The sequence below is a fragment of the Homo sapiens genome, chromosome 19, assembly GCF_000001405.40.
Source record: "Homo sapiens chromosome 19, GRCh38.p14 Primary Assembly".
In the NCBI taxonomy this organism is placed as follows: domain Eukaryota; kingdom Metazoa; phylum Chordata; class Mammalia; order Primates; family Hominidae; genus Homo; species Homo sapiens.
In genome coordinates, this window is record NC_000019.10 from 12,685,097 (window position 1) to 12,697,681 (window position 12,585).

A 12,585-nucleotide genomic window follows, 5' to 3' on the forward strand; every position below is an offset into this window, starting at 1 on the left:
CACTTTGGGATGCCAAGGAGGGCAGATCACCTGAGGTTAGGAGTTAGAGACCAGCCTGGACAACATGGCGAAACCCCGTCTCTACTAAAAAATACAAAAATTAGCCGGGTGTGGTGGCGCACACCCATAATCCCAGCTACTCAGGAGGCTGAGGCAGGAGAATCACTTGAACCCGGGAGGTGGAGGTTGCAGTGAGCTGAGATGGTGCCACTGCACTCCAGCCTGGGCAACAGAGCGAAACTCCGTCTCAAAAATAGATAAATAAAAATTAAAAATGAGGAGCGCAGCTTGCTGTCTCCCCTTTTCTCACACCCCACATCCATCCTTCTCAGCATGTCTGCCAACCTCTACCTATAAAGTAGGTCCGAAATCCAGGTGTTTTCTTTATCCCCATAGCCTGCAAGCTGGCTTTGGTATCCTCCAACCCATCTCCCACCTAACAGCTAAAATCAGAGAGCTTTTTTTTTTTTTTTTTTTTTTTTGAGACGGAGTCTTGCTCTGTCGCCCAGGCTGGAGTGTAGTGGTGTGATTTCGGCTCACTACAAGCTCCACCTCCCGGGTTCACGCCAGTCTCCTGCCTCAGCCTCCCAAGTAGCTGGGACTACAGGCGCCCGCCACACGCCCAGCTAATTTTTTGTATTTTTAGTAGAGACGGGGTTTCACCATGTTAGCCAGGATGGTCTTGATCTCCTGACCTCGTGATCCGCCCACCTCAGCCTCCCAAAGTGCTGGGATTACAGGCATGAGCCACCGTGCCCAGCCGCTGAGCTTTTTTTTTTGATGCAGGGTCTCACTCTGTCACCAGGGCTGGAGTGCAGTGGGACAATCACACCTCACTGCAGCTTCGACCTCCTGGCCTCAAGTGATCCTCCCACTTCAGCCTCCCCAGTAGCTGGGACTACAGGTGCATGCCACAGCTCTTTAACCATAAATCAAACATGTCACTGTTAAAACCTCCTAATGGTAGCTTCCCCCTGGGAGTAAAATCCAAGCTTTTCACAGTGGCCTTAAAGGGCACCTCTCAACCTCCCTGCTGCCATCTCCCACCATGCTGGCCCTCCCTCCCTCTCTCCTCTCCAGCTACACAGACCTCTTTGCTATTCCTGGAACCCACCAAGCTCTTTTTTGTCCAAGGAGTCAGGTACTTGCCGCTCCTTCTGCCTAGAACACCCCATTTCTCAGTTCCTTCTCCTCCTTTGGGCCTAAGTTCAAATGTCACCTCCTCTGAGAGGCCTGCCCTGACCACTCCTCTCCCCTTTACTTTGATTTTATTCTTCTTTCATATGCCCTTTCACATGTATACTCTTTCACTGAGTACATTTTCTGTTGTCCATCCCTGCCTAACTAGAAAGGCAGCTCCATGAGGGCAAGGTTTTGTCTTGTTTCATTGCTAATTTGGGTTTTTGCACAGTGCTGGGCACATATTAGAATCTCGGGGCAGGGCTCAGTGGCTTATGCCTATAATTCCTTTGGAAGGCCAAGGCAAGAGGATCGTTTGAGGCCAGGAGTTCAAGACCAGCCTGGGCAACATAGTAAGAACCATCTCTACAAAAAGTTAAAAACATAAATTAGCAGGGCACGGTGGCTCACGCCTATAATTCTAGCTAATCAGGAGGCTGAGTTGAGAGGATCACTTGAGCCCAGGAGTTTGAAGTTACAGTGAGCTATGATTGTACCACTGCACTCCAGCCTGGACGACAGAGCGAGAACCTGGGCTTAAAAAAAGAAAAGAAGGCCAGGCACGATGGCTCACACCTGTAATCCCAGCACTTTGGGAGGCCGAAGCAGGTGGATCACTTGAGGTCAGGAGTTCGAGACCAGCCTGGCCAACATGGTGAAACCCCTTCTCTACTAAAAATACAAAAATTAGCCAGGTGTGGCCGGGCGCAGTGGCTCATGCCTGTAATCCCAGCACTTTGGGAGGCTGAGGCAAGTGGATCACCTGAGATCAGGAGTTCAAGACCAGCCTGACCAACATGGTGAAACCTCATCTCTACTAAAAATACAAAAAATTAGCCGAGCATGGTGGCACATGCCTGTAATCCCAGCTACTCGAGAGGCTGAGGCAGAAGAATCGCTTGAACCCAGAAGGCGGAGGTTGCAGTGAGCCGAAATCACGCTATTGCACTCTAGCCTGGGCAACAAGAGCGAAATACCATCTCAAAAAAAAAAAAAAAAAAAAAATTAGCCGGGTGTGGTAGCATACGCCTGTAATCCCAGCTACTCAGGAGGCTGAGGCAGGAGAATCACTTGAGCCCGGGAGGTGGAGGTTGAAAGTGAGCTGAGATCGCACCACTGCACTCCAACATGGGTGATAGAGCAAGACTCTCTCTCAAAAAAAAAAAAAAAAAAAAAAAAAAGAACGAAGGCATTGGAGATTTGAGCCTGAGCAGTGGCGACAACAGGAGGAGAGGCAAGGCTGCATGTTGGAGATGGCAGAGGCTGACAAAGCAGATGTGTTGGGAACAGTTAGCAGGAGATCCAGCAGGCCAGGGGGAGGCCAGGGCCTCCTCACTCCCCCAGCCAAGGCACCTAGCCCACAGGGACCCAGGTGACACATGACACCAGAGGAGCCACAGGGCCTCCTGGGGCAGGGACCCCCTCAGCCGAGGCAGCAGCTGCTGCTGCAGCTGGTGACATTTCACTCCATGAGAGCCCTGGCTTCAAAGTCTTTGCAGGGGTAGCCGAGGGAGAAAAGGGGGTTGAAGAGGACAGGCTGGGTTGGGGAGGGAGCCACAGCAGGGTGGCCACCAGAGGACCAGGCAGCCAGAGGTGACTTGGGCCGGAGCCCTTAGCCGAGGTGTGTGGGCCTGATGGGTCCAGGAGCAGCCACCCTCATCCTGCAGCCCCCAAGGAACATAGAAGGAGGTGTGGGAACCCTCGGGCAGCCCTAGGCTCCCCCTAGGGGACTGAGGTTGGGCCTGCTGCCCACGGCCTGCCCACTTTACCCAGATGTCCAGCAAGGTGGCCATCAACAGTGACATTGGGCAGGCCCTCTGGGCAGTGGAGCAGCTCCAGATGGAGGCAGGCATCGACCAAGTGAAGGTGAGGGTCGGGGCCAGTGCAGGAGGCGGGAAGAGGTGGGAACACATGGGCCAGGGGACAGGTGCATGCCTGGGTCTGGTCTGGCTGAACCAGTTGGTCTGCAGGTGTCCAAAGATGGCCGCCGATCTGCTGAAGTTCTGCACGGAGCAGGCCAAGAATGACCCCTTCCTTGTGGGCATCCCGGCCGCCACCAACTCCTTCAAGGAGAAGAAGCCCTATGCCATCCTATGAACCCAGGGCAATGCCACCCTGTGGCCTGGGCAAACCAGGGGGCCTCAATAAACATGAAGTGAATACTTCTCAGGGCATGGCTGAGCTGGGCTGAGATGGGAGACCAGAGGGACTTTGGGCTTGCAGGGGCCAGGTGCGTACCTGGCCCAGCCTCCCTCCCTGCCTGCCCCCGGGGTCACAGCCACAGCAGCACACACACACCCTGGAGCCCCAGACGGAGAGCACGCCATCCCTCTTGCCCTCGCCAGCACCCATGGGATAGCCTGAGCAGGTACCCTTTCCCACCGTGCAGACAAATGGCCAGGATTTGAGTCATAATCTATACACCACACGCGTCACACATCACACACACACGTGACATCATAGACACAGATGCCCACGATCCTCAGGACTCTCCCTCTTCAAATGCACAGCAACAGCTGACATGCACCCCCAGCCCAGACTTGCTATCTCTCCCAGTCACTCCCATGCAGGCCCGCAGCCCCACAGCCCCAAGCAGGCACAGGCAGAACCCCAGCAGGCAAACCACACTCACACTCCAGGCCCAAGCACCAACATGTCAGGTTTATTTCTCCTTCGCTCTCAACTGAGAGCGGGGCATCCAAATCATAACAAAACCAGGGCCCAAGAGTGGGAAGCGGCCCCCTGGGTGGGCCTGAACCCCAATTTCACCCTTCCCCCGGGCATAGGGCCCAGGCCAGGACGCTCACCCGAATGTGGCTGGGACTCCTTGTGCCCTAGGCCCACGGGGCGGAGGCAGCACCAACATTGGGGATGGTCCCCCAAGAACAGAGGAGGAAGCCCAGCCTCCGGCAGGCAGTATCCACATCCACGCCCACCTGCTCAGGCCTGCAGCCTCCAGACCTCTAGCGACAGGTCTCCAGAGCCGGCCACCACCAGGTTGCCCTCAGCACAGACCTGGGAAGGGGGAGGAACATGAGGAGTCAGGGACGATGGCGCTCTGGCCAGCTGGGCAGGGCACATGGGGCAGGACCTTACCCTATTGAGCCCATTGTCATGCCTTCGGGTGCAAATGGTCCTTGGTGGGTCTGTGGGCACGTGCACCTAGTGAGGGGCAATGGGCGAGGTCAAGAGGTGTGCCCCTGGCTGATGGAGGTAGGGGAGAGGCAGGGACTGTCCTGGGGTGGGGGCTGGGCAGGAGCCTCACCCGGATGGTCTTGTCAGTGGATGTGGTGTACAAGGCTCCCACGGAGTACTGGATCCCAGTGATGGGAAAGCTGTGGCCCACATCAAAGGACTGCAGGAGGAGGATCAGGCAACACTCAGTCGAGGCTCTCCCAAGGCCCGCCCTCCCCCACACCACCAGGGGCTCGGGTAGGAAGGAAGCCCGGGGGGAGGGACAGTCAGGGGCAGGAGCTCCAGCAGACCCGGATAAGCTGGAAGCAGCCGTTGCGGTTGGCGAAGACGTGCAGCAGGCCCTGGTTGTCACCAGCCCAGAGCTGGGGTTCCTGGTAGGACATGCAGAGCAGGTAGGAGTCCAGCTACGAGAGGGACAAGGGACGGGACAGCTCAGGCCGGGCTGGGCCTGCAACAGTCCCCATCCCTCCAGGCCCCTGGGGAGGGCCCACCTGCAGACGCTGCAGGACGCTGTTGGCTCGGCGGTCCACCACCACCAGGGTGTGGTCCTCGCTGCCTGAGATGATGTGCCGGTCATCCGCCAGCAGGGTCAGCACGGGTCTGGAGTGTAGTTGCTGGTGCTTCAACAGGGCTGGGCCGGCTTCATGGGTGATGGGCCGGTGAGGAGGGATATCAGAGCCCCTCGAAGGCCCCCCCCAGCCCATGAGAGCATCCCGGGTCTCCATCCTGTCTGGCAAAACCCTCGATCTGCTCATTCCCCCACCCCACAGAGTGACCCATCTCTCCTCTCCCGCCTCAGGTAAATCCAGGCTTCCACAGGAGCCCCAGGCCTCTGCCCATCCCCGTCCACATCCCATATCCCTCCTCCGATCCCATCTACTGTTCTTAGCACAGAGCTGACCAAGGTGGTCTCAGTCTTGCATCCACCCTCAGGTTGGCCTGAAACATGCCTATCCCGCAGCCCCGCTCCAGCTCTGCCTGGACAAGGTACACTGGCCCTTCAATTAACAAAAGTAGAATGAATAAATAGGCCAGGCACAGTGGCTCACACCTGTAATCTCAGAATTTTGGGAGGCTGATATGGGCAGATCATCCGAGCCCAGGAGTTCAAGATCACCTTGGGCAACGTGGCAAGACCCCGTTCTCCATTTAAAAAAAAGAAAAATGGCCGGGCGCGGTGGCTCACATCTGTAATCCCTGCACTTTGGGAAGCTGAGGTGGGTGGATCACCTGAGGTCAGGAGTTCATGACCAGCCTGGCCAACATGGTGAAACCTTGTCTCTACTGCCTCAGCCTCTGGAGTAGCTGGGACTACAGGTAGGCGCCACCACATCCAGCATAAAAAAACGTAGTTAATCCACCACTGTTCCTATTATCATCTTCCCCCATTAACCCCATGGGGCTGCTGTGGTATTATTATCTGGATTTCAAAGATGGGGAAACCGAGGTTCAAGCTTGTCTGGAGGTCACACAGCTAGGCAGTGGGACAGCCAGAACTCTAACCCGCCCCCAGGGCTGCCCAAGCTTCACCTTCACCCGCTGCCCAAGTTGCCTGTATTGTACCAGCACAGCATGGCCACTCTGAGTGGTGAGTATTTGGTTAAGTGACTATGACCCCAGCCAGGCTGTGAAGCCCCAGTGTCTCCTTCCCTAACATGACATCTCCCAACCTGGGCCCCAGGACCCTTGGCCCACCTCTGGGGTCGTAGATGGTCACCTTCTTGTCATAGGTGCCAGTCACCAGGATGTCAGGCAGGTAGGAGAGGCACAGCACGGCTGAGCTGGCCCTAGGGACACACAGACCACAGGGCTTTGGCTGTGGCCAGACAGGGTCCTATCCCCGCAGGCCCCCTGCCCAGGCCCCCACACACTTTATCTCGCCGAACTGCTGCCCATCCGCTGCCATGTCCCAGAGCTTCACTGTGCTGTCCCAGGAGCCGGAGCACACGCGGTGGTCCTGCGCTGCCAGTGACCACACCCAGCCCTGCAGGACAGGAGCAGCAGTCACACACCTGCCACAGCCCATGGGGGTCCCAGACTGGGATCGTTCTGTTTTTGCAGGTAAGGCTCAGAGAGGTCAAGAGACTCACCCAAAGCCACATAGCTCTTCCTCCCCAGTGCCCATGGTGATAGATGCTGCAGCAAGTACAACACCCAACTCTGGCTCCAGGTGATCACCCCCATTGCATAGATGAAACCAGAGCAAGTTCAAGTTGAGTACAGATTAAAGTTTGTGTCCATGGGTCAGCCTGACTTCAGAGTCCAGGAAAGGCACACCCCACCCAGAAACTTTTTTTTTTTGGAGACGGAGTTTCACTTTTGTCATCCAGGCTGGAGTGCAGTGGCTTGATCTTGGCTCACTGCAACCTCTGCCTCCCGTGTTCAAGTGATTCTCCTGCCTCAGCCTCTCTAGTAGCTGGGATTACACGCTTGTGCCACCACGCCCGGCTAATTTTTGTATTATTAGTAGAGACGGGGTTTCACCATGTTGGCCACGCTGGTCTCAAACTCCTGACCTTAGGTGATCCGCCCGCTTCAGCCTCCCAAAGTGCTGGGATTACAGGCATGTGCCACTGTGCCTGGCCCAGGAACTCTTTTTTTTTTTTTGAGACAAGGTCTTGCTGTGTCATCCAGGCATGAATGCAGTGGTGCGATCATGGCTTATTGCAGCCTCCACATCCCAGGCTCAAGCAATCCTTGTACCACAGCTTCCCAAAGAGCTGGGACTACAGGTGCATGCCACTACACTCTGCTAATTTTTTTTTTTTTTTTTTGAGATGGAGTTTTGCTCCTGTTGCCCAGGCTGGAGTGCAATGATACGATCTCGGCTCACCACAACCTCCGCCTCCCGAGTTCAAGCAATTCTCCTGCCTCAGCCTCCCTAGTAGCTGGGATTACAGGCATGTGCCACCGCGCCAGCTAATTTTGTATTTTTAGTAGAGCCGGGGTTTCTCCATGTTGGTCAGGCTGGTCTCGAACTCCTGACCTCAGATGATCCGCCTGCCTTAGCCTCCCAAAGTGCTGGGATTACAGGCGTGAGCCACTGCATCCGGTCTTTTTTTTTTTTTTGAGACATAGTATCGCTCTGTCGCCCAGGCTGGAGTGCAGTGGCATGATCTCGGCTCACTGCAAGCTCCGCCTCCCGGGTTCATGCCATTCTCCTGCCTCGGCCTCCCGAGTCGCTGGGACTACAGGTGCCCACGCACCACGCCTGGCTAATTATTTGGTATTTTTTGTAGAGTCAGGGTCTCCCATGTTGCCCAGGCTGGTCTCGAACTCCTGGGTTCAAGCAATCCTCCTGCCTCGGCCTCCCAAAGTGTTAGGATTACAGGCCTGAGCAACTAACTGCACCCTGGCCCAATAACATTTCTAAGTCAAGTTCTGCAAGAACTCAGCACCAGTGGTGGTTTGAAGCCACATGACAAGTGATTAAGAGTGTGGCCTCTACTTTGTGACCTGGCAAACCATATCACCTCCCTCAGTTCATTCATCAGCAAATTGGGCAGAAAACATCCCTTGCCTCAGGAGCTAATATGCACAGGGTGCTGAATGCTGACTTTTTGCCCACCAATCCCGCTGAGGAGGGCAATATTGTGTATCTCATTTTACAAATGGGGAAACTGGGCCCCAGAGAGGTTGAGTTTCTCACTCAAGGTCACACAGCCAGGAAGCAGCACAGTGAGAATTTGAACCCAGCATCCTGGCCCCAAGCCCAAGCTCTCAGCTACCGGCCTGACCACCTTAGCGACTGGTGGAGATGCTCCTCCACAGCCACCTCTCACGAGATGACAGTCATGCTCAGAGTTGGCTGATCTCCAAGGGTAGTCTCATAACTGCTTTACACTGGGCCTCTCAAGGTGTACCTGACGTCTATTGAGCACCTACTGTGTGTCAAAGCCTGAGCTTGGCTGGGCACCGTGGCTCATGCCTGTAATCCTAGCATTTTGGAAGGCTGAGTCAGGCAGATCACTTGAGGCCAGGAGTTTGAGACCAGCCTGGCCAACATGGCGAAACCTCGTCTCTACTAAAGGAAAAAAAAAAAAAAAAAAAAAAAAAAAAATATATATATATATATATATATATATATATATACACACACACACACACACACACACACACACACACACACACACACACAAAAGAAATTAGCTGGGCATGGTGGCACATGCCTATAATTCCAGCTACTCAGGAGGCAAGGTTGCAGTGAGCTGAGATTGTGCCACTGCACTATAGCCTGAGCAACAGAGTGAGATTCCATTAAAAAAAAAAAATTAGCTGGGCATGGTGGCAGGCACCTGTAATCCCAGTTACTTGGGAGGCTGAGACAGGAGAATCACTTGAATCCCGGAGGCAGAGGTTGCAGTGGGCCGAGATCATGCCATTGCATTCCAGCCTGGGTGACAGAGGGAGACTCTGTCTCAATAAAAATATAAATAAATAAAGGCCAGGTGACTCATGCCTGTAATCCCAGCACTTTGGGAGGCTGAGGCGGGCAGACCACGAGGTCTGGAGATCGAGACCATCCTGACCAACATGGTGAAACCCTGTCTCTACCAAAAATAAAAAAATTAGCTGGGCATGGTGGTCCTAGCTACTCAGGAGGCTGAGGCAGGAGAATTGCTTAAACCTGGGAGGCAGAGGTTGCAGTGAGCCGAGATTGCATCACTACACTCCAGCCTAGCAACAGAGTGAGACTCCATCTCAAAAAAAAAAAAAAAAAATTAGACAGGTGTGGTGGCATGCACCTGTAGTCCCAGCTACTCAGGAGGCTGAGGCAGGAGAACCGCTTGAACCCGGGAAGCAGAGGTTGCAGTGAGCTGAGATCATGCCACACTCCAGCCTGGGTGACAGAACGAGACTCCGTCTCAAAAAAAAAAAAAAAAAAAGCCTGAGCTTAATGCATGTCCACATTAATGCATAATGCATCTCCTTCATCCTCATCCTAATCACCCACTGGACAGAAGTAGAAACTGAGGCACAGAGAAGTCACACATCTCACTCAAAGTCACACCAAGGTTAGAAAAGTCAGATTCAAATCTATGCGGTCCTGTACCAAAACCTGGGGCCTTAACCAAGATGCCCTACTCAGGCCTCATACCTCCTATCCCCACCTGACTCCTCACCTCATGGGTACTATTTCGCTTAGTGCCTAAGGTCTTGATCAGAACCTGGTTGGACTCCGTCCCCAGCTGCCGCAGGTCCCACAAGTTGACGTTGCGATCTCGGGAGCCCGACAGACAGAGTGACCCACCCTGGAAAGGGAGCAAGGTGATGTTGTCAGGGCCACCCTGGCCCACCCTGCCTGGCCCCCCACAGACCCCGTCTCACCTGGAGCAGCAGCACTGAGTCAACGGAAGCCACGTGGCCTTCGGCCAGGCAGAAGTATTCGACCCAGCGCCCATCCTCTGCCCAGCGGGACAGGTGCTGCTCCAGCGCAATGCAGGCTGCCGGCCAGTCAAAGTTCTTCTCTGTGGGTTACCACGAGTAGGGTGCCCAGTGGGCAGGGACCCTAGCACCCATGCCAGCTGGCCAAGCCCAACCCTGGCTTCCAGGGAGCCCACACTACACCAGACTTGGACAGAACCCCATGGAGATCCCTACTCCCACCCCAAGCCGACCCAGGCTGTGGTCTTGGGACCACCTGCCTGCCCATTTCCCAGGCAGGTCTAGGACTACTCACTCCAATTTCCAGAAATTGGGAACTGGGGTCTCAGAACTACCTCTCCAGGCGCCATCCCCCAACCCAAACTCAGGGCAGAGCAGTCTCAGGATGTTGAGGTCTGACCTCAGGCTCAGCATAGAAGCTGGGACCTCATGACTAACCCTTCCTGCCTCAGCCATCTGAACCAGACCAAGGGGGCTGTTTCTCAAACAGTATCTGGAAACCAGGGAGCCTTGTCAAGATGCAGAATGCAAGCCCCAGATGCAGATTCTGTGATATGGACGGGGTCCAAGCATCTATGTTTATTAAGCTGTTTGGGAGAGTCTGACCTGGGGGTTGGATGGCAACACCTTGAGAATCACTGATCCCGGAGTGATCCTGATTCCTCTCTAAGCAGAATCAAAGCTTCCAGGTTAAGGGTATCAAACACCCAAGCTGTAATACATCTTGGCTTAAGGGCCTGAGGATCCAGCTGTATCAGGATCAACAATATCGATTCAAAGGTCCCAAGCTGTCTTCCCTCAGGAACCAATCAACTCAGGGCCAAGAGCCACTGTCTCACCCCTAACTGGGTCAAGGCTCTAGGGCTCAGGAGTTTTGACATCAACAGGTGCTGTCTCAGCTTCTAAGCTGGACTCAGAACCTGAGGATCCTTGGGCTCACTTTGAGCCCCAGCATAAACTCCAGAGCCTAAGACTTCAAGTCCCTGTGTCAATCCCCAATCAGGGGTCAGTGGCTTAGTACCACAAGACCCCAAGACTGAGGATATTTGGATCCTGAGTCGTCCAGGAACCACAGCCCCATGTTAGGGTTTCACAGCCTCAGGACCCCAAGTGCCTGACTGCCTCGTGGTCCACCCAGAGGTCCTCAGGGGCTTCGGCACCACCAGTAACTACCTTAGCCTCCAGCCTGAGCCAGGACAGCCACGAAGCCTGCACCAGAGGCTGCATCCGGAACACCCCATGTACCTCTTCCCCGCCCCAAGCCTGACCTGGGCGGGCGCCCCCGGCCCCCGGTCCCCGGCCCCCGGCCCCGCGCACCTTCCACCACTGGGTAGGGCGCGCGTACGCGGCGTAGCGCGCGTAGCCTCCAGGTGACATGGTCAGACACGAGGTCGCGGAGCGCGTGGCACACCCGCGACAGGACGTGGAGCACGAGGCGGGCGTCCAGGTAGGAGCAGATCTCGAGCAGCAGCTCCGGGGGAAGGCTCAGAAGGCCCGGCTCACTTACGGCCGAAACCCTGGACGCGGCCCGAGGCTCCGAAGCGCTCGGGGACGCGGCGGGTGTGGATAGCTGCGAGGGGCGCGAGAACGCCAGCCCGGATTTTGGCGGACTGAGAACGCGGGCCACGTAGGCCTTGGCCTGCGCGTCTGGGTCTGTCTCTGACTCTGGGTCCGAGTCATCGTCCCAGGTGCGGGAATCATCGCACCGCCCTAGGGGAAGCTCCATTGCGACCGGGTGGGCGCTGCCGGCCTCGCGTCTTGTCTCCTAGGCAGCACGAGGGCACTTCCGGCGCTGTCTGATGACGTTTATGCGCCCACCGGAAGCGACGAAGTCAGACACTGGCTTAATACAGAACATCGCCCCGCTTACAGGGTCTCTTGCAACTGCGTCGGCCTTAGGCTGGAAAATGCAGGTTCCTGTTTCTGCGCTTTTTAAACTAGCCGATACCGAGAGCCAGCCAACTCTAGCTAAAAACGAAACTCAAGCCAGGCGGGGTGGCGCGCGCCTGTAGTTCCAGATACTCAGGAAGGTGAAGGGGTAGGATCCCTTGAGTCCAGGAGTTCGAGACTGCAGTGAGCCATGGTTGTGCCACTGTACTCCAACCTGCGCAACATAGTGAGACCCTGTCTCTTTAAATTAGACATAAAATAAACACTGCTTTAACGAAGGCATCTGTTATATGTGACACTGAGCTTAGAAACCCAAAGGCCCCTTTCCGAGTTCAAGGAGTAGAGATTGGAACTCTTGCCTCTTTTCCCAGAGCCAGAAATATGCAGTTACACTGCAGAGGCATCAGTTAAGTGACTTTTTTTTTTTTTTTTTTTTTTTTTGAGAAAGGAACTGGGGCCTCAGAACTACCTCTCCAGACCCCATTCCCCAACCCAACCTTGGAGGACAGCAGTTCAGTCCTCCAAGCGGAGTGCTTGGCTCATTGCAACCTCCGCTTTCTGGACTCAAGTGATCCTCCACCTCGGCCCCCCAGGTAGCTGGGACTACAGGCGCGCACCACCACACCCGGCTAATTTTTGTATTCTTTTGTAAAGACAGGGTTTCACTACGTTGTCCAGGCTGGTCTGGAACTCCTGAGCTCAAGCCATCCGCCCCCAACTTGGTCTCCCAAAGTACCAGGATTACAGGCGTGAACCATCGCGCCTGGTGGAAAGCTACCTTTTTCTTTTTTCTGAGACGGAGTCTCACTCTGTCACCCAGGCTGGTGTGCAGTGGCGCGATCTCGGCTGGCTGCAACCTCCGCCTCCCGGGTTCAAGCGATTCTCCTGCCTCAGCCTCTAGAGTAGCTGGGAATACAGGCACGCGCCACCACTCCT

The 12,585-nt window shown here is 55.2% G+C and overlaps 2 protein-coding genes across 3 annotated transcripts, besides 2 other annotated features; one reads left to right on the forward strand and one right to left on the reverse strand.

Moving 5' to 3' along the window:
* The first annotated feature begins 2,901 nt into the window (after nucleotides 1-2,901).
* GNG14 (G protein subunit gamma 14) lies at nucleotides 2,902-3,326 on the forward strand. The gene has a single exon (NM_001316692.2). The coding sequence runs from the start codon at nucleotides 2,953-2,955 to the stop codon at nucleotides 3,274-3,276; it is 324 nt and encodes a 107-aa protein (NP_001303621.1). The 5' UTR covers nucleotides 2,902-2,952; the 3' UTR covers nucleotides 3,277-3,326.
* Nucleotides 3,327-3,819: 493 nt separating this feature from the next.
* FBXW9 (F-box and WD repeat domain containing 9) lies at nucleotides 3,820-11,535 on the reverse strand. 2 transcript variants are annotated; one of them, NM_032301.3, is made up of 10 exons: nucleotides 11,077-11,535; nucleotides 9,703-9,842; nucleotides 9,498-9,626; nucleotides 6,246-6,358; nucleotides 6,070-6,161; nucleotides 4,866-5,014; nucleotides 4,665-4,778; nucleotides 4,445-4,534; nucleotides 4,276-4,341; nucleotides 3,820-4,194 (listed from the first exon to the last, which is right to left on the reverse strand). In NM_032301.3, the coding sequence occupies exons 1-10, from the start codon at nucleotides 11,483-11,485 to the stop codon at nucleotides 4,120-4,122; spliced, it is 1,377 nt and encodes a 458-aa protein (NP_115677.2). In that variant the 5' UTR covers nucleotides 11,486-11,535; the 3' UTR covers nucleotides 3,820-4,119. The 2 variants fall into 2 exon arrangements, with proteins under 2 accessions (NP_115677.2, XP_005260153.1); XM_005260096.5 differs by lacking the exon at nucleotides 9,703-9,842.
* Nucleotides 11,445-11,494: an enhancer, noted in NCBI's record as "active region_14072". NCBI's record gives its function as "activates an Ori minimal core promoter by ATAC-STARR-seq in GM12878 lymphoblastoid cells {active_cell/tissue: GM12878}" and the evidence as "EXISTENCE:reporter gene assay evidence [ECO:0000049][PMID:35858748]".
* Nucleotides 11,805-11,864: an enhancer, noted in NCBI's record as "active region_14073". NCBI's record gives its function as "activates an Ori minimal core promoter by ATAC-STARR-seq in GM12878 lymphoblastoid cells {active_cell/tissue: GM12878}" and the evidence as "EXISTENCE:reporter gene assay evidence [ECO:0000049][PMID:35858748]".